Source organism: Homo sapiens, chromosome 2 (genome assembly GCF_000001405.40).
Source record: "Homo sapiens chromosome 2, GRCh38.p14 Primary Assembly".
Taxonomy (NCBI): domain Eukaryota; kingdom Metazoa; phylum Chordata; class Mammalia; order Primates; family Hominidae; genus Homo; species Homo sapiens.
Window position 1 is genome coordinate 279,558 of NC_000002.12, and position 18,124 is coordinate 297,681.

The window sequence follows — 18,124 nt, forward strand, 5'->3', positions numbered from 1 at the left end:
TCATTATAACAAACACTTCATTTATTACTTGTGTTTATTTACACTATTTACATATTGCACAATAGCTGGAATACTATTTTACATTTATAATACAAACGACCAACAGAATTAGCCACAGATTTACACTCCACTGTCTCTAAAACATGACCGAAATTTTAATTTTTCATGCCGTTCCAAATAATACTCTGAGAATTTAACAGTGAAAGTAATACAGAATATCAAATTATGTTATATGAAAATATACTTTAAGATTCTGCTTATGTTTCTAAAGAAATATTTTTTGCGATTTCACCTAATGAAGACAATGAAATATTCTGTGTTTTATAGCACTACACGTCAAATGTGGAGCATTCCTTTTGTGTTTTTTTTTTAAATAAGTGACAGATAACACTGTCAAGTACACTGATTTATCGAATATATATCTGCAAACTGTCAACAACATACAAAACTCAAAGGACTTATGGAAGAGTCTGTCTGCAAAAATAAATCTCTTGTCCATGAGGGGATGTGTATAAAGATAGTTCTGTTTCCCTGTTGGTTTCCAAGGCACTTCTCATGGCTCCTGGTGTGCTGCTCCTGTACGGTCTGCTCACTGCTGAAAACAAATACATTGCGTGTGATATGACTATCCACACTTCTTAATGTCAATTCCAGAAGACCTGTCACTTCAGTTAGGGGACACAACATGTTTATAAACATAGGCAGTCTCAGAGTGCATCTGTATTTCTCTGTGATCCAAAAAGTGTAGTCTATTGTATTTTTAAAAATACCTTCTTTCTGCAGTTGTTACATGGCTGCAATGCTAAAGCAATGAAAATCATCACAGATACATGTGGATGCTTTATTACAGCTTGAAGAGTGCTTAGTCTTACATGTGCTATCAGAATCCTCAGTAGTCTAGGCCACAGGGATTAACCTGGCAGTTCTGCAACCTCAGTGTTCACAGGGTTGGTAAAGCTAATAATCGAGATTAGACATTTGTTTCTAGCATTCTTTGTTGGAATATCTAAACCATTGGTATTCTATTTATTTTTAAAGAATGATAAACTTCAAGGTTACTAAGATTAGGCTGCATTTGGGAGAGTACACCATGTACTCACTACTCAAAACTCCATTTCTTTGACAATATTCCAGAGCTCAGGCTTCTGATTAACTGACCTGTAAGTCCGGACAATGAAGTGTATCTGTGACTGTTAGGGAGGGTTGGTGGGGACATTGTTCTCTTTGGCCTGAGGAGGTCTATTAATGAGCTTCAGAACGCGGCAAATGGATTTGCTCTGAGGTGAGGAGGGCAGAGCCCTTCCTGCTAAAGGCCTGCTTTTCTCAGGCTCTGGGCCTTTCTTTACAAAGACAAGGTCATGGTTTACGGTCTTGCCCTGCCATCCTTGTGTGTCAGGACAGAAGTGCATGTGGCAGGTTAACCAGCAGAACTGGGACTGCAGGGCCTGCCTGATGCCACACCGTCACACGAGTGTGGGCACCCTGGGACACCTGCCCTGCCCTCTGGTGTCTCACTGAGGTCTGCAAAGCACAGAGAAAGCCCGGACTGTATCTACACTGTGGTGACCAGCCACAGTAAGAGTTTGCTGTTGCTGTTTAACAATTTGTTAACACCAGTAACAATTTGCTGTTGCTGTTTAAAACTTTTGGAATTTGAAGAAATTATCTTTAAAAAATAGGAGTTATGAAATTATAGTTAACAGGGTATCAATATTTTAAACTTTACCTATCTCTTGGCCAAAATGAACCCAGTTACAGCTGTGACACCTGTGGCTGTCAAGCAGGTGGCCTTTTGGGGACAGAAGCTTGCGAGCCTGGGCCTTGTCTTGTTACCTTTACCTGCATCTCATCGTCAGTCAGGCTCTGATGTGGTTGTCTGGTGATGGGGAGAGTGATGTGAAGAGTGCTGGGGACTATCAAGGGGATTCTGCCACAGCTTTTCTGCAGGGCATCACTGTGGCGTTTGCAAAGCAGGACGTGCGCACGCAGAGACCCATACAGGAGCCTGAGTCCCACTGACATGACCACGTCCTTCAGTGTAACTGCACCTGCCTCCAGCAGCAGCCAGCGGAGGGGAGGCAGGGGTCGGCTAATGGGCATGTGGACGGAGTAGCTCTTCCAGTGGCTGAGACAGTGGGGAATTTGCTCTCCTCACTTGTAAGTAAGTGGAAAATTTCCAAGGATGTCCCTGGCCCATCTCTGGGAACACTGTGTTTAATTATAAAGAAATACCTAAAAAAAAAAAAAAATTCTCATCTCCCCTGGCATATCACCTTGGGTGACAGGAATGTACATCTGTTCACTGATTTAAACAGAAGAAAGTCTGTGTGACACATAGGCAGTGGATGAGCTGCTCGAGAGAATTGGAAAGAGCAGGGATGTGGGGAGACATTACTACACAGCACTTCCCAGCTTTGACTGACATTGACACCTTCACTATCTCCAAAGAAAAAGTGCAGTGAAACTGTGCAAAATGCAGTCTCAACCCGCCATTACCCACTGGCCTCCCTCCCCCAGTGCCATTCCTCTCATTAGCAGCAGTTTCTTCTACTGGGAAAGATGGAGTGGGGGATGCATGGGCAGGACCCGCCATGCCTCCTGCCGGTGTTGGGGTCATGCACACAACCCTTCTGCTGCTACCTAAATATTCATAAGCACTGCCTCTGCATAGAGAGCACATCTATATAGGAAAGAGCACTACCCTACCCTCATCCATTTTACATGAGAGAAACTAGAGTAACCACTATAAAAATACTCCCTTTTCATGAATGTGCTCCGGACAGCTATCAATGGACAGGAAGCCTGTCTTTCTTGTGCTGGTGTAGCCAGCATCTGGCAGTGCCCACATATACAAGACACATAGTAAGTATAAAATTGGTGAAATTACAGTTGCATCCTGCTGTCTAAAGTGACTGGATTCTGTGGCATTTGTGTCAGGAAAATAAAACCTTACCCTTCAAAACATCCGCTGATGGTTGGTGTTAAATGTTGCATATCAGCCCTCAAGGGGCCAAGGTGCAAAGTTTAGTTCATAAACGTGGTATGCATTTACATTTTTACTATTAGAGGCTGTGAAAAAAAAAAACCATTGATAGAAACATTTAAAGAGGATAGCTGTTCTTTATGAGCTTATGACTACAACTCAAACATGTACCAGATGTGATAATCTGAATTTGCAGGGACAATGTTGGTCATCTACTCACTTGTGTTAGTGAATGAATGAATGCCTCGAAGTAAACGGACAATTTTAGTCTGTTCCTGACTTACGCACTCAGTCACATGCTGACACTGGCTGACTTGCTGTGTTTCAGAGCAGGACCCACTTAGTGCCCGTGTGCCATGCAGTGAGCAGTTAACAACAGCTGCCGGGGCCCTGTAGACAAGCCAGTAGGGTGGCTTTCAGCACTGTGAGATGAGTGTTGTGCCATCTCTACTTAGAATATGGCTACTTCAGCCAAAGAATGAGTGTTCCTAAACTCCCATGAATTTTTCATGTCCCAAGCGGGATTCCCATCTTTGGTATGTGCTCCAGTGTGTGTCTGTCCAAGCTTACCTTATCCTCCATGCACACTGGACTGACAGCCAGCCGGGTAAGAAGCCTGGCGCATCTTTTATAGTCTACGGTGAAAATATATCAGACTCTTGTCAGTTACTTAAAAAACAAATAAATCGCATTTTTTTGCAAGTATATCAGCTACTAAAGCCATTTATTTCTTCAAATATCTGAATTCCCTGGAAGCAATACGGAGTCTAATCTGCAGGCATGCATTCTAAGTTGTTGACTTAATAATTTATGGTGCTTCAAGGGCTTGAGCTTCAATGGCAGAAGTCGGATGATGTAAGTGGGGCAGCGGAGGGAAGAGGGACAGACACGAAGGCTGCATGGCTGAGCTGGCTGCCCATTGCTTCTCTCAGAAATAACTTCATTTCGCTTCCTACGTGACAATCCTTCCGTACCCTTGTGCTACTTTCAGGTCATGTGCAGGCTGAATCCCAACTTGAGTTGACCATGGGACAAAGCCTTCTGCCTGTAAATTCTAAAGAAAGTGGGTCAAAAGTCAGGCAGCAGAGCAGAGGCCTGGAGTGGATGGCGAGCGGAAGCAATGTGCCCGTTTCTAAGCGCTGGCTGATACTCCTTGGTATCGTACACAGTCTCCCATTCCACTATTCTGACCGTGCTGCCTATAGAAATTAAGAAGGTGTAATGGGCATGGCCATAAGGGAAAATATGTCCTCTGGGTGAAGATCTATGGAAAGCTGCAATAGTTTGTAAATTATTACAGTTTATTTCTCAATAACAAAATCCTACTTAAAAGTGGAAGAATTTATACCCAACTGAAAATCTGAATTGAATGGGTAGATTGACAATGACAAATGTGTACGATATGTTAGTTAAGGAGCCAGCTCTACTTCCAAAAATACGCCTCCTAAATATGGCATATATTGTTAGGGATTTTTCAAACAGAAAATGTTTTTCAAAGGGCCAAACAGTGGCACTGGGTCATCTGACCGCCTGGCTTTCTCTTTCATAAGCAGCACCATGCTTTTTAGAATGTAGTTTTCCTAAACAGATTCCACATCATGGAGGCAGTGGAATGTGTGATTTCAATGGCTGATCTAATCAATGAAGACTTCCACTTGGGCCATGTCCAGGGTCCCAGCTGACCACATCCTGCTCAACCCAGGTGTTTTCAGCAATGTCTTGCAAACCTTCATGTGCAGACCAATCATCTGGGGATCTTATTAAAATGCAGATTTTGTTCAACAAGTCTAGATGGGACTTAGTTCTGCATTCCCAACAAGCTCCCCATGGGACCACACTTTGAGAAGGCACTAAAGTTCCTTCAGGTCTGATATTCCAGGATCCCAAGGATTTTCTTTTATACAGCCTGACGCAGTAAAAAAGTGGTCCAACTTCAGCTCTGCAGTTCTTTATGGGCTAAGAAGAGGCAGAAAGCAACAAAGTGGCCACCCATCTCAAGGCACAGATCTCTCAGCCTTCTCCCTCTCCATGGCCCAGGGTGAGCTGTGATCAGGAGCTTAGTATCACAAAGCCGAGCTGCTGTGAGCAAAAGGAGGTATCGAATGCAGGCACAGCATGATGCCTTGGAAAAAGGCCTGCAGAGTCAACCATGAGATCTGTGCTTTAGCTTTGCTGATATCTGACAGCACAAAAGCAATTCCTCATCCATAAATGAAAAGATGAGACTGAATGACTCAGAGGTCACTTCCAAATTTGGAATCTATGATCCTATTACTGTAAGGAAATAGGTAATATAAAATATATGTACATCAAAACAATACAAACGACAAGATTTTCTGGCCCCAAGAGCCACATTAATGATTCCCAAACAGGTGATTACATTCCAAAAGAAGAAAACAGGAGAGTACTAGTGTGCCAGGTGCACATGGAAGGGTGGGGCCCAGCACCAAGAATATAAAAACTCTTCAGGAAGTGTGTGCTGCTGGCCTTGGCGTGAGGATGATGTTGCTAAAGGTATGGTCAGAGGGGCCGAGGCTGCGTTCCATGCATCTTTGTGCGGTGATGTGAATGCTAAAAGTGCATGTGCCTTAGCCTTGTCCAAAACGCGCTGGTGACGCTACTTCAGTGGGCCAAGGTTCATTGGCATGCACCCGGCACACAGAAGCAGCTCTATAAATGATGGTTATTATTATTTGAAGTAATTTTGCTGCCTAAACAAAGAAAAGCACTTATACTTCGTGTACATTGGCTTTTCGTTTGTTTGTTTTTGGAGAGGGAAGGCAGGACAGCAAGTCCGGAACGCTGCCTGGTCCAGCTGGAGAGCCCTGATGACAGCAGTTAGCAGGATGCCTAGTGTTTCTGCATGACTTTTCTCCTGTGAGCCTTAAATAAAATCAAAGTTGGAGTCCGAATTAAAAAAAATGGGTTAGGGCCCTATCACTGTAGCTAATAAGGCTTCAGTGAAGAGAACAAGGAGCTACTTTTGGAGAAATAAAATGTTTTGTTATGAATAAATAGCCAAAAGCAGGTTAGGAAGACTGAAAAGAAACAGGAGAGAAAGCTACTGCTGAGAGCTATGTTGATAAGGGCAGCTCTGCATTTCTGAAGGAGTGATGGAGCCAGCCAGAGAAACAGTTTTGAAATCACAATGAAATTCCTGGGTGATGAGGTTATAATTACCAATGGGAAGAAAAAGTCTCTGGTAAGAGCAGTGGAGATGATCCAGGTCAATCTTATTCTTGGAGTCAGTTTAGCAACTCATTCTTAACATCTGACTGCCATAGTAGAGTACACACAAACATGGGCATTGGAGGAGAATTAACAGGAGGAGAATCGGAGTTCAGCCCATCCCAAGAGCCTATTATTCCAATGACTGTAAATAATTTCCAGTTTGGCGTTAGCTGATGCAGAAGTTAGTTATCTTCTGCAATGGTCTGGCGATCTTGGCCCCTAACTCCATAGTGAGGAAGGAATAGGCAAATTTGAGCTAAGAAGGCAGGGGCCTATATGAGGAAATGGAAAGAGGGGAACCGCTGCCTGCACTGCTCTTGCATTTTATAAAAATCCAATGCTGTTACTTACATGCAGGAATGGTGCAGTCTCTGGTGTTGTGATAAAGTCTATGGAAGTGTTTGCTGCACTTTGGACTAAAATAAAGAGGGCCTGGAACACGGAAGAAGAAACAGATCATGAAGACTCACAGGTGAAAAGGAGCTCTGGGAGACGTGAGGAACGAGGAGAAAACTTACCTGTAAGGTGTTTTAGAAACTTGTCCTTCATCCTCAGATCTCGAGGAACAATTTCTGTTTCAGGGAAAAGAAAGTATTATATTACCTGAAGGACGCATTTTTTAAAAATGTGATCTTAAGTGAATGTTGAAGAAAATTGGAGCTCCATATTAGCCAAGTTGCTTTGCACAAAATAAAAAAGACTGGGGCCCTGGATTGCAACACACGACAGTGAAGAAGACTCAATATCAGGGACATTTATTTTCCTTGAAATAACAGTAACTGCTCCTGAAGCTCCAGGATTATGTCGGCTGTCTACCCCGTGGGATGCAGACAGAGACCACGAAGTTACAGAGGTAAGAAAACTGTTTTTTTTTTCTTTTAAACATTTAACTTCCAGTGAATAAGTCACTTTTAGGCACTTTAGTTTTAAGGACCTTGGGAATCAAATCCCACAACATTTCAAAGTTTTTAGAGAAAACCTGACCCTTCAAACAAAAAAATGGGTTACAGAACATTACTTTATCTAGATACATATTTAGAGTAAGGATTAAAAGACCACGTTTCAGTGAGGTGTAAATTAGTGGGAATATGCATGAACCTGGTTTGTAGGGTAAGAATCCCAGGGAAAGACTCTGCCAAGCAAACTTCTTCCACCAGGGTTCTCCGCACACAGTGGGTGGGGAGAACCCTGCAAGGGCGTTCTTCTTGAGTTCAGCTTTGTTTTTGCGTATTTACAGCCCTCTCCATCTTCACTCCCCCGTTCAGGGCTCCTGGCTGAGCCCCGACTGTGTGTGAAGTCACGCCCTCTGAAGAGGAGCATTCGCATCCACAGCTGACCCCCTAGTGAGTCTTCATTCACTCCTAACTTGACGCAGCCGGGATAAAACTGACCTTATCATGTTTGACCTGATTGTGTCACAAAAGCATTAGACGCTTTCATGCTTTCCTGGGAAATTCCCCGTGGGCCACCACTCTGGGCAGGGCCATGAAGGAGCCTGGATGCTTCCTTTTCAGTTGGGAAAGCTTTGCTGGAAATGCTTCCATTTCCAAAGTGACGGTTGACAGTTTAGTGTGGAAACCACCGACCCGCGCCGCAGCTCACGCGCGCCAGAAGGAGACCAGGCGCTTCTCCGCCAGGCCTCATGCGCGGACCTATTGCTGCTATTTTCTTTTTCTTAAAAAAAAAAAAAAAAAAAAAAGGAATCCTGCTGTTCAGTGGTCAAAATTGATGTCTCTTTTTGAAACGTGTTTCTCAAAGACAATTCTATTTCCCAGCAGCCCCGGCCCTCGGGCGCGCTCGGCCCCACTCACCCACTCGCTGCTCCGGCGAAGGCCCCAGCCCCGCCGCCTCCGCGCGGCCCAGGGCGCAGTCCCGCCCGAGGAGCTGCAGGCCCTTGTGCTCCGCCGAGTGGTGCTTCCGCAGCTCCTGGACGAGTTCCACCACCAGCCGCAGCAGCGCCTGTCCGTCCGCCGGCTCCCGGGGCTCCGCGCCCCCCCGGCCGCGCCCCGCCGCCCCCAGCACCAGCAGCAGCCCCAGGAGGAGGGGGTGCCCGGGTCCGCGCATCGTGCGCTCGGGGCCGCGGGGCTGGGAGACTCCGACACGCGCCGAGAGCTGGGCTCGCTGCGAGAGAAGGGGCGCGGGGGGCCGGAGAGAAAGTCAGCGGGGGAGGGGGACGGAGCGCGGGGCGGGGGAGGGGAGGGGAGGCGGGAGGAGCCGCTGGCGCTGGACCCGGCCCCTCACCTCCGCGGACCCCGAGGAACAAGCCGGCAGGTGAGGGAGCCGCGGTCTCCTCGACGATCACGCCCGAGGTCCCGCCCACGGGGAGCGACCGCCGCTGGTGCGGAAAGGAGCCCCCGGAACCCGCCCGCCCGCCAGCCCGGCCCCTCCTAACTTTCGCCCGAAAGGCCGCGTCCGCCGAGCGCGCTGCGCCTGGCGCGGGCGCAACTTTCTTTCCCCTTTGGAAGCCGCGGGTGCCAGGCAGCTCCCCGGCCGCGGGCGGACCTCGGAGGGGCCGCGCTCCCGCGCCTACCGCTCTCCAAGAAGGCGGCGCCGCGCGCCGGGCCCGGCGGCCGCGCTCAAGTTTCCAGCGTCGCCTTTGCGCGGTGGTCGCCGGCGAGCGCCGAGTCCCCGAAGCCCACGGAGGAGGCCGGGTGCGGACCCTCGCGCTGGCCCCGGCCGCGCCACGTGCTGGAAGCCCCTCCACCTCCCGGCCATGGCGCCCTCCCGCACCTGCCCGGCGCCACCCGGGAGCCACCTGCGCGTCGTGGCCGGGCCGGTTACCTGGAGCCGCCGGAGTCGTCGCCGTCTGTGCGCACGTCTGTCCCCGCGCCCCGAGCTGCGCCACTACTCCATGCCCGGCGGGCGGAGCGCACGGGACGCGGGGACTCGGCCGCTCCGAGCGCTGGACCCACGGCCGACCTGGGGTGCGCCGGCTCCGAGTCCCGCCTCAGACCTCGGGGAGCTTCTTATCCCCGCGCCCGCCGACGTCAGGCGGGTCCCCAAGGGCTCCGAGCGGGGCTTTAATTAGAAGCCGCTGAAGTGTTAGTACCCCCATGCGGATCTTCGTCAGTCCCCCCGCCTCACCTCGCTCTCGCCTCCCCCCGTCTCCCGCTCCCCCTCAACTCCGCCCCCGCCCCCGCCCGGTCCCCCCACCCGCATCTCCACCGCGTCTCCCCCTCGCCCGCGCCCCGTCTCCCGCGCCCCTTCCCTCCCCACCTTCCCCATCTCCCGTCTCCTCCTCTCCTGCCCCACCTTCCCCCACTCCCCGTCTCCTCCTCTTCCCCCTGTTCTCCTCCCCCCGCCCCTCCCCCAGTCTGTTTCCCTCCGTTCCTGTCACTTGTGACAGGATGAGAAGAAACGCCTTTACCAGGAACTCGGTTCTGTTTTTGTCTAAATGTAGATCTTGGGCTATTAAAAAGGGAGCTGCCTGATTGCTTCGACATTTAATAAGTCAATTAGAGTCCATCCGTTTTGGAGGGATCCGCTCTCCGGACCTCGAGGGGTCTGCCCCGCCCGAGCCCAGTCCCCAGGTTCGGGTCCCCAAGCCCTGGTCCCCGAGGCGGGGCGGCCAGGAGGCAGGAGATGGGCGGGTGAGGACTCTCCACGGCCCCCGAGGTGCGCACAGCTGACCACCCGAGGAGGGGCAGGACCTGCACCCCCTCCCCAGACCCCCTGCGAGAGGACGAGCGAAGGTCCCTCCCCGGCAAGGACCGCGCCATCTGCGCGCTCCTCTGCGCTGGACCCTCGGCCCGCGGGTCCCTCGCGCCCCGGCAGGGAACGCCCGCAGGAGGGCACTTGCCTCCCGGACTCGTCTTTAAGAAAGTTTGGCTCTTTGGCCGAAGCCCGGCACATCTGTGAAAGTTCAGCAATTTGCCTCTTTTATTTTATTCTTGTAAAATGTATTATCAATCAGTTGCGCACTTTCCCATTCGATTGGTGCTTTCTGGGCAAGAGCTGGACGTCTTCCAAGTCCGCGATCTGTTTGGGAAAGGTGTTCTGAGTGCAATCAGAGAGGCGGAGTGGGCGAGAATTAAAGGCCTGCACCATGATCGGGGCAGTCGCAGGACCGCGGCGGGAAGGTGCTGGCCCAGGCGCACGTGAGCGCGGGCGGTGCGGGCGGAAGGCTCCGCGCCCCGATCCCCCAGCTCCCGGAGAGGCCCCGTCTGCGCCCGTCCCCGCGTCCTTTCTCTCTTCCTGCACGGGGTCTGTCTCCTCAGGAGGAGAAAGTGTCCGGCAGAGCTGGGCGGGGAGGCAGCGTGGAGAGAGAAGATATGAAATGTGCCGGTTCCGGACCCCGCCCCACACCCTTGGGATCTGCGTTCTCTCCGCTCCCTTGAAAAACAGATGGTTTGATTTCACAGCGAGGCTTTTCTTTTTCTTTTTGCAAGCTACATGACTGAAATGTGAACATTTCTGCTAAAATACACTCAGGAAAAAGTAAAATTTTATGTCAAACAGACCTTAGGCACATAAAAGGAGGCATTTTTCGTTTCTCTCTTTCCCCTTCCCATGTCCAAGAAGACACTTGAGTTCCACGGGCAAGAGCGACGCCTGGCGATGGAACCGGCCCTCCCCGGCCCTGCTCCCGGTCCTGCTTGCCGGGCCCACCTCGCAGCTGGTGGACACCGCAGTTCCCAGAAAAATAGAACCATGAGAAGATTTTACTGTTGTAAAATAGCTTGGTGTAAGACAGTTTTTCAAAAAAATCTTTGTATGGTAAAAAGAAGAAAACACATTTCACGTATTATTTTAAATTTACATAGACCTATTAGAATAGTATTTTATAAAATCAAAAGCTAAATTTCTTCTATAAAATGCTAGTAGGATCTATTTCCCCCAACACACACAAATTCTACCTACCGAGGAAGCCTTGCTAGTAATTAATATTATGTCTTTTCTTTTGCAGTTTTTAATGGGACAAATGGATTCCTTGAATGAGCCCTTTCTACCATCCAAGTGTGGGCCAAGACTTCCGCCCAGGTTAGTAGAGGTTTGGTGGATAATCAACAGCAACAGAGCTGATGCTTGGTTGGTCTTTGGATTAATGAGATCTTACAATTAAGAGTCAGACAATTTATGTGTTCATTTATTTTTACAAAGTTCTCTGCCAAAATTATCTAGGTGCTGCTCATTTTATATTATAGAAACAATTTTTACAGACTAACAAACTTAGAGTGTACCACCGATTTGTTAATCTTTATTGAATTTTTAAGTTAATGGTATTGTCAAGACGAACCCCTTGGAGTTCTCCAGTCATCAGAAATAGGTGTGCAGTCATCCCTTGGTATAGCGTGGGACTGGTTCCAGCAGATACCGAAATCCAGGCACATTCACGTCTCACAGTGGGGCCTGTGGAACACGCAAATACGGAAAGTTGCCCTCCCTCTGTGTGCGTTTCGCATCCTCCAGCTGCTGTGTTTTCGACCCACGTTTGAAAAAAAATATGTAAGTGGACCCCTTCAAACCCGTGCTTTTCAAGCAGGAAGCCAAAAAGAAAAGAGATACAATTAGCAACAAACTATATTCTAGAATTACTGGAAAAATTTTTTTCTAGATTTGATTTAGTTTGGTTATCTTTTTGAGAAAACTGTGTTGGATCATAGGAAGAAAACCGAGCAGAGGAAAAAAACCTGTATTTAATCTACCCTAACAGTACTATATATAGGTCCTGAGATGGGTGAGTTGATTTTTTCAATTCATAAACAGGTTAAAGTTCTGATGTTTTGACTGCAATCATTTTTTTTCTTCATCCAGAGGGTACGTATTTAATTTTAGATGAATATTAGCTGCCCTCAAAGACTTCTAAAATACCTGTGTTAACCACATGCTTTAAAATGAATTGTTATATTTTTCAATCATTATGGCAATCATTTAACAATCTAACGAAGTTTGTATTGTAGAAAAAAATCACCTTTCATAAAGGATAACATCATGTACTATAAACAAATATTGCTTACTGTTTAATATTTACCAATTCTGCTTTTTTAAGCTATCAAAATGCTATTAGTGTGCTAGGCACGTACTAGACAGTGTTTAAAGCATTTAGGAAGACAAGCTTTCTAACAGGATTAATTTTCCTAGTATAAATGTAATAAATATAGACTCTTACAAGTGATAATGTATGCATGATATCTGCAGCTTATTCTAGATCAATGAAGTACAGCATTCTATGTAACACTTCTCCCCTTCTAGGGAGGAAGAAGATGATTCCAAAAACATGGTCATCCACCCCTTCCCATTCTTCAACACTGCTTTTGCATCTGCAGATGCACACGGCTATGCATGTTCAGGAGAGAAATTAGGTGAAAGTTGTATTTAAAGGGTTGGGATAAGATAGCATGGCTGATTTACTTTTTTAAAAAATTTATTGTTCCAGGCCAAGATAAAGAGGACTTTTCATGGGGAAAGGCTTAAAGGAAGTATGGACTTTACGTTGTTCCTTCAAACTGGATTTTAGTTATAAATTCTGAAACCACTGTGATGCTTACTTGCCATTTGGAGGCACCAATCTGACATCTTTTGATGGAAGTAGTAAGAATAAATTTGAAAGAACACACCAATCATCAACATATCAGAAAAATATTATCCATGACAATATTTCAACAAAATATAGTCATAGATGCTGAGTAACAACACCAATATATCTGCATTCCATCTGTTTTCTGCAGGAAATCAGATATCCTGATCAGAAGTGACACACACAATGATCTAGGTTCATCACAGAGACATCCAAAGTGTCATAAAGGCACCACCTACCAAAGTGGGTTGTTGTTTGTTTCTAGGATAAGCTAAGCACAGTGATGGGGATGCCTCCTGGATAGAGGGAACTGCATATGCAAACTTCCAAGGAGGAGGCCCCAGAACCTCTTGGATCTGCTGGGAAGACTGGGCTGTAGGAAGAGGGTGGGAGGAACAGATGGAGAGTCACCTCACCTGAACTCCACTTTCTTTCAAGAATGCAGCATAGCGGACTGCAAAGGACGTGGGCTTCAAAGCCACAGAAATGGGCTCAGGTTCTGATTCCTGCTCACATCTGTGTGAACCTGGGCAAGACAACTTCTTTGAGCCCAGTTTTTTCATGTCGGAAATGACAGGAGTACGTACAACCTCAGAGGTTTTATAAACATTAAATAAGATAAAGTATGTTAACTTTTTAGTATAGTTTAAATTTCTTTTAACTGACCAATTATTGCTATTACTGCCTTTCAGAGTGTCTGCTGTCATAATGGCCTCTTTTTTCCTGTATTTTATCCCTTACAATATGGCATGAAAGAGAGCATTATCCAATCCTAGAGAATGTCTGGGGCATCAGAATTTGGTGACTTGTTCACAGCTGCATAGAAAATCTATAGTTAGAAGTGGACTGAAATATCCTGAATTAGTAAGTTTCCATGTGACCAGCACTCAGAACAGTGGGTGAGGGCTCAGTCCAGTGGAGTAGGATTCAGACCTGTGGGTGAGGGCCCCTGCTGCTGCCCCAGGCCCAGTGCCTGTGCTGTTAGGATGGTATATAAGTGTGGTTGGCTAGGATATACTAGGGCTATGAATTCATAAGAACAGTCTATATTTTGCTCACCTGACCCTTCCTTAAAACCGTGGGGACATTTCAAGACTGCTGTCTCTGATATTTTTGCCACTATTATAATGCAGTCCATTAGGCAAAGAGTGCTTGAGACACTGTCTTAGTCCATGTGTGCTCCTAGAACAATATATCATACACAGGTAGTTTATAAACAACAGGAACATATTCCTCACAGTTCTGGAGGCTGGCAGTCCAATATCAAGGCAGGCTGGGTGTTTGATGAAGCTCCCCTTCCTCGTAGATGGCGCTTTCTCTCTTGAGTCCTCACAGGGGCCCACCTTCCTCACAGATGGCGCTTTCTCACTGAGTCCTCACGTGGGGCCCGCCTTCCTCATAGATGGCGCTTTCTCACTGAGTCCTCACACAAGGCCCCCCTTCCTCATAGATGGCGCTTTCTCACTGAGTCCTCACACGAGGCCCGCCTTCCTCATAGATGGCGCTTTCTCACTGAGTCCTCACACGAGGCCCACCTTCCTCACAGATGGCGCTTTCTCACTGAGTCCTCACACGAGGCCCGCCTTCCTCATAGATGGCGCTTTCTCACTGAGTCCTCACGTGAGGCCCGCCTTCCTCATAGATGGCGCTTTCTCACTGAGTCCTCACACGAGGCCCACCTTCCTCACAGATGGCGCTTTCTCACTGAGTCCTCACGTGGGGCCCGCCTTCCTCATAGATGGCGCTTTCTCACTGAGTCCTCACACAAGGCCCGCCTTCCTCATAGATGGCGCTTTCTCACTGAGTCCTCACACGAGGCCCACCTTCCTCACAGATGGCACTTTCTCACTGAGTCCTCACGTGGGGCCCGCCTTCCTCATAGATGGCGCTTTCTCACTGAGTCCTCACGTGAGGCCCGCCTTCCTCATAGATGGCGCTTTCTCACTGAGTCCTCACACGAGGCCCACCTTCCTCACAGATGGCGCTTTCTCACTGAGTCCTCACGTGGGGCCCGCCTTCCTCATAGATGGCGCTTTCTCACTGAGTCCTCACACAAGGCCCGCCTTCCTCATAGATGGCGCTTTCTCACTGAGTCCTCACACGAGGCCCGCCTTCCTCATAGATGGCACTTTCTCACTGAGTCCTCACGTGGTGGAGGGTGCAAGGGGACTCTCTGGGGTCCCTTTTCTAAGGACAATAATCACATTCATGAGGCTCCATCCTCAGGACCCCATCACCTCCCAAAGGCCCCACCTCCTGACACCATCACTCTTGGGATCAGGTTTCGGCACAAGCACTTTGGAGAGACACAGACGCTGAGACCACAGCAGACAGGCAGCACCAGTGTAAGGCAGACCAGTTACTGGCCCCGGGAGAAACGGGAGGCAGGGGTGCCCAACCGTTTGGCTTCCCTGGGCCACACTGGAAGAAGAAAGAAGAAAAATTATCTTGAGCCACATGTAAAATACACTAACACTAACAATAGCTGATAAGCTATAAAAAAAATCACCAAAGAAATATCATGTTTTAAGAAAGTTTGCAAATTCCTGTTGGGCACATTCAAAGCTGTCCTGGGCTGCATGTGACCCATGGGCCATGGGTTGGACATGCTTGGAAATGGACGTCAAACAGAAACAGTCTGCACCTCCAGGAAGGAAGGGAGAATTTGTGCTGAGAACTTTTGATTTGCTCACACATCCCATAGCCATTGCTTGAGTCCTCGGGTGCTCAGGGACAGAGGGGAGAAATTCTGTCCACAAGAAACCTGCATTGTTTGGTGTAGTGTGTCCCGTGTGTCGTGTGCTCCTGGAGTCTGGACGGAGTGTAGGGTGTGGGGCCACTCCCTTGAGGCTGGTTTATGGATGAAAGGGGCAGGGAATGCACATGTAAAGAAGCCAAGGTGCCGGGTCACAGTGCGCTTGGAATGTGTGAGGGTCCCTTCTGCAACAGAGTGTAGGAGAGAGAAGAGGACAAGAGGCTGTTCTCAATGCCACTCTCAGTACTCTGAACTTCATCCTGCAGGCAGTGGTAAATGATTGACAAGCCTTGAGCAGGGACCAACATCATCAGATCTGTGTTTTATGGAGGTAGCTATGGATGATGGACCAAAAGGGTTTGGGGCCGTAGGCAGACAGACCAGTCCTGCCTCCTTCTGCCCACCCTCCCCCATGGGCAGACAGGCGAGCAGGGGGCTTTCTGACCCTCCCTCCTTCCGTCAGATGCTGTCACTAAGTAGAGAGATGCGAAGTGTCCCCCGTGTCCAGCACTGCACCAGGTGTTGCAGGTGTGACAGTCCCTCCTGCATGGTTCACTTGCTGCAGAAGGTAAACACCAGCAAACAGATAACTATATGAAATAGTAGGAAGTTATAAAAAGAGCATGGAAGAAAGAGGGAAGAAGGAAGAGAGACAAATGCTGAGACAGAGATGAGATGGTGAGGGCGAAGGGGACCTACGTCTGATAAGGTGGTTGTAGAATCATCTCTGAGGACAAGGTATCAAGGTATTTGAACTGAAACCTCAGCATGGATGCAGCCACATTTATAGTGATGCAGGCGAAAAAAGGAGGAGGCTCAGAACTGGGGCATGGAGATGAGGATGGAGAGTAGAGAAAGTCTTGGCTTCCTAAGAAAATCATCTTTTTTAGAAATCACCTGTTTCATCCTGACATTGGCATTCCCAGTATGAACATTTCTGTAAGAGCATTTAAAAGTCCCATTGAAAACATAGCCGTGATCTTGGGACCATGTGTAGGCTCCAAAATTTAATTCTTTCCTCCATTCAGCAAAAACTGACCATGTGCCGGCCACATCCTGAGCATAGTTCTAGGAGCAGGCACACATACTGCGGTGAGCAAAGTAAGTTCCTATTACTTGGCTTATTGAAGATGTAACTTTAGCCTACGTGGACAAAGAAATAGACAATTTCTAAAAACAGATACAATACAAAATGAAGCTTTAAATATGAGCACAACACCCTATTCTGCTTTGACTGGGAGCTGAGAATGACAGTTGTTAAGCCAGACTTTTTTTATTGCTACACACGTGAACGGGAGGGCATCTCAGAGGTGATGCAGTGCTGACAACCAGGTGTGATACCCTCACATGTACAAGCACTGTGCATTTCAGAGGTGACCTTGTGCTGACAACCAGGTGTGCTGCCCTCACCATGTAAAAGCACTGGGCATCTCGGGGTGACCTTGTGTTTACAACCAGAGGTACTCTCCTCACTGTGCAGTTAGGCACTGGGCGTCTTAGAGGTGACTCTGTCCTGATAACCAGGTGTACTCTCCTCACTGTGCACAGGCTAGGGCTAGACATGGCAGGGACCCAGGTGTGTGCAAGGTGCAGCGTTTGTGCCATGGGGAGGACCTGCAGGTCCATCCACCTCCCTATTCCAGTCCTCAGAAATGCACTAGGGCACAGTGGCAGTGGGGCAAAAAGCTCTTTGTGTGCTGTGATGTGAACCTCAGGGTGACTCCAAACCTTATCGTGCTCCACGTTCTCTTAGGCTGCTGTCAATAAATGTTTGAACAATTTCTCGTAGATGTCTTTGAATATTTCTATGTCTGTACCTCCTCTTTTGGCAATGAGTTCCATAAGTTTACTCTTCATTACATAAATTACTTTCTTTAATTTGTCCTCAGTATAAATCAGATGTGTTTAAACATGACCCTGAGGTTTTCTCTTTGTCTTTATGTGCTGGTAGCTGACACCTTCAAAGTGAAGGAGGAGACTTCTGTTTTGTCTCAAAATGAATGCAGGTACTCTTTTGTTTTTAATTCTGATAAAACATATGTAACATAAAACTCACAATTTTAACCATTTTAAGAGTACAGCCCTGTGGCATTAGGTAAATTCACAATTTTGTACAACCATCATCACCACTGTTCAATTCCAGAACTTTTCATCATCCTGACCAGAATCTCTGGACCCGTTAAACATTAGCTCATCATTTCTCTCTTCCCCAAAACTCTGGCAAAAGCCATTCTACTTTTTGTTTCCATGGATTTTTTAAATTGACATGTAATAATTGTATTTATGGGGTACAGTGGGATATATTGGTGCATGTGTACCATGTATAATAATCAAATCACTCTAATAAGCATATCCATCATCTCAGTTATCGTTTCTTTGTGTTGACAGCATTTAAAATCCTCTCTTCTGCTGCTTGAAAATATATAGTCAATTACTCACCCTATGAGAAGACCAGAACTTCTTCCTTTGTAATTGTAGGTTTGTTCATGTTAACCAAGCTCCCTCTGCCAGCACCCCACTCCCATAACCACTGTTGTATTCAGCACGTCTGTGAGCTCTTCTTTAGCTTCACATATAAGTGAGACCATGCGGTGTTTTTCTTTTTGTGTCTGTCTTATTTCACTTAGCACGATGTCCT

The 18,124-nt window shown here is 47.5% G+C and overlaps 1 protein-coding gene and 2 long non-coding RNA genes across 22 annotated transcripts in view, besides 2 other annotated features; 1 reads left to right on the forward strand and 2 right to left on the reverse strand.

Moving 5' to 3' along the window:
- Positions 1-8,534, reverse strand: ALKAL2 (ALK and LTK ligand 2). 4 transcript variants are annotated; one of them, XM_047443980.1, is made up of 6 exons: positions 8,456-8,534; positions 8,026-8,335; positions 6,733-6,786; positions 6,566-6,646; positions 3,554-3,618; positions 1-592 (listed from the first exon to the last, which is right to left on the reverse strand). In XM_047443980.1, exons 2-6 carry the CDS (start codon positions 8,276-8,278, stop codon positions 590-592), a joined length of 456 nt encoding a protein of 151 aa, XP_047299936.1. In that variant the 5' UTR covers positions 8,279-8,335; positions 8,456-8,534; the 3' UTR covers positions 1-589. The 4 variants fall into 4 exon arrangements, with proteins under 4 accessions (XP_047299936.1, NP_001002919.2, XP_047299938.1 ...); NM_001002919.3 differs by having other exon boundaries at positions 1-595; XM_047443982.1 differs by lacking the exon at positions 6,566-6,646.
- Positions 5,109-6,308: an enhancer, noted in NCBI's record as "CDK7 strongly-dependent group 2 enhancer chr2:284666-285865 (GRCh37/hg19 assembly coordinates)". NCBI's record gives its function as "activates an origin of replication core promoter dependent on BRD2, BRD4, P300/CBP, MED14 and CDK7 cofactors, with strong dependence on CDK7, by STARR-seq in HCT116 cells {active_cell/tissue: HCT116}" and the evidence as "EXISTENCE:reporter gene assay evidence [ECO:0000049][PMID:35650434]".
- On the forward strand, positions 6,372-17,274 carry LOC101927262 (uncharacterized). Of its 7 annotated transcripts, XR_007085889.1 has the most exons (4): positions 6,372-7,067; positions 11,121-11,194; positions 11,428-11,659; positions 12,591-17,274. It is a non-coding gene; the product is annotated as an uncharacterized LOC101927262 (long non-coding RNA). The 7 variants fall into 7 exon arrangements; XR_007085917.1 differs by lacking the exon at positions 11,428-11,659; XR_007085954.1 differs by lacking the exons at positions 6,372-7,067; positions 11,428-11,659 and adding an exon at positions 8,408-8,485.
- Positions 8,049-8,098: a silencer, noted in NCBI's record as "silent region_11100". NCBI's record gives its function as "represses an Ori minimal core promoter by ATAC-STARR-seq in GM12878 lymphoblastoid cells {active_cell/tissue: GM12878}" and the evidence as "EXISTENCE:reporter gene assay evidence [ECO:0000049][PMID:35858748]".
- The window catches only part of LOC105373346 (uncharacterized), a 23,435-nt gene continuing 16,694 nt past the window's right edge, over positions 11,384-18,124 (reverse strand). For all 11 annotated transcript variants that reach the window (NR_189074.1, NR_189078.1, NR_189077.1 and 8 more), the window contains one exon: positions 11,384-11,563. This is a non-coding gene — a long non-coding RNA (uncharacterized LOC105373346). The remainder of the gene's footprint in view (positions 11,564-18,124) is intronic.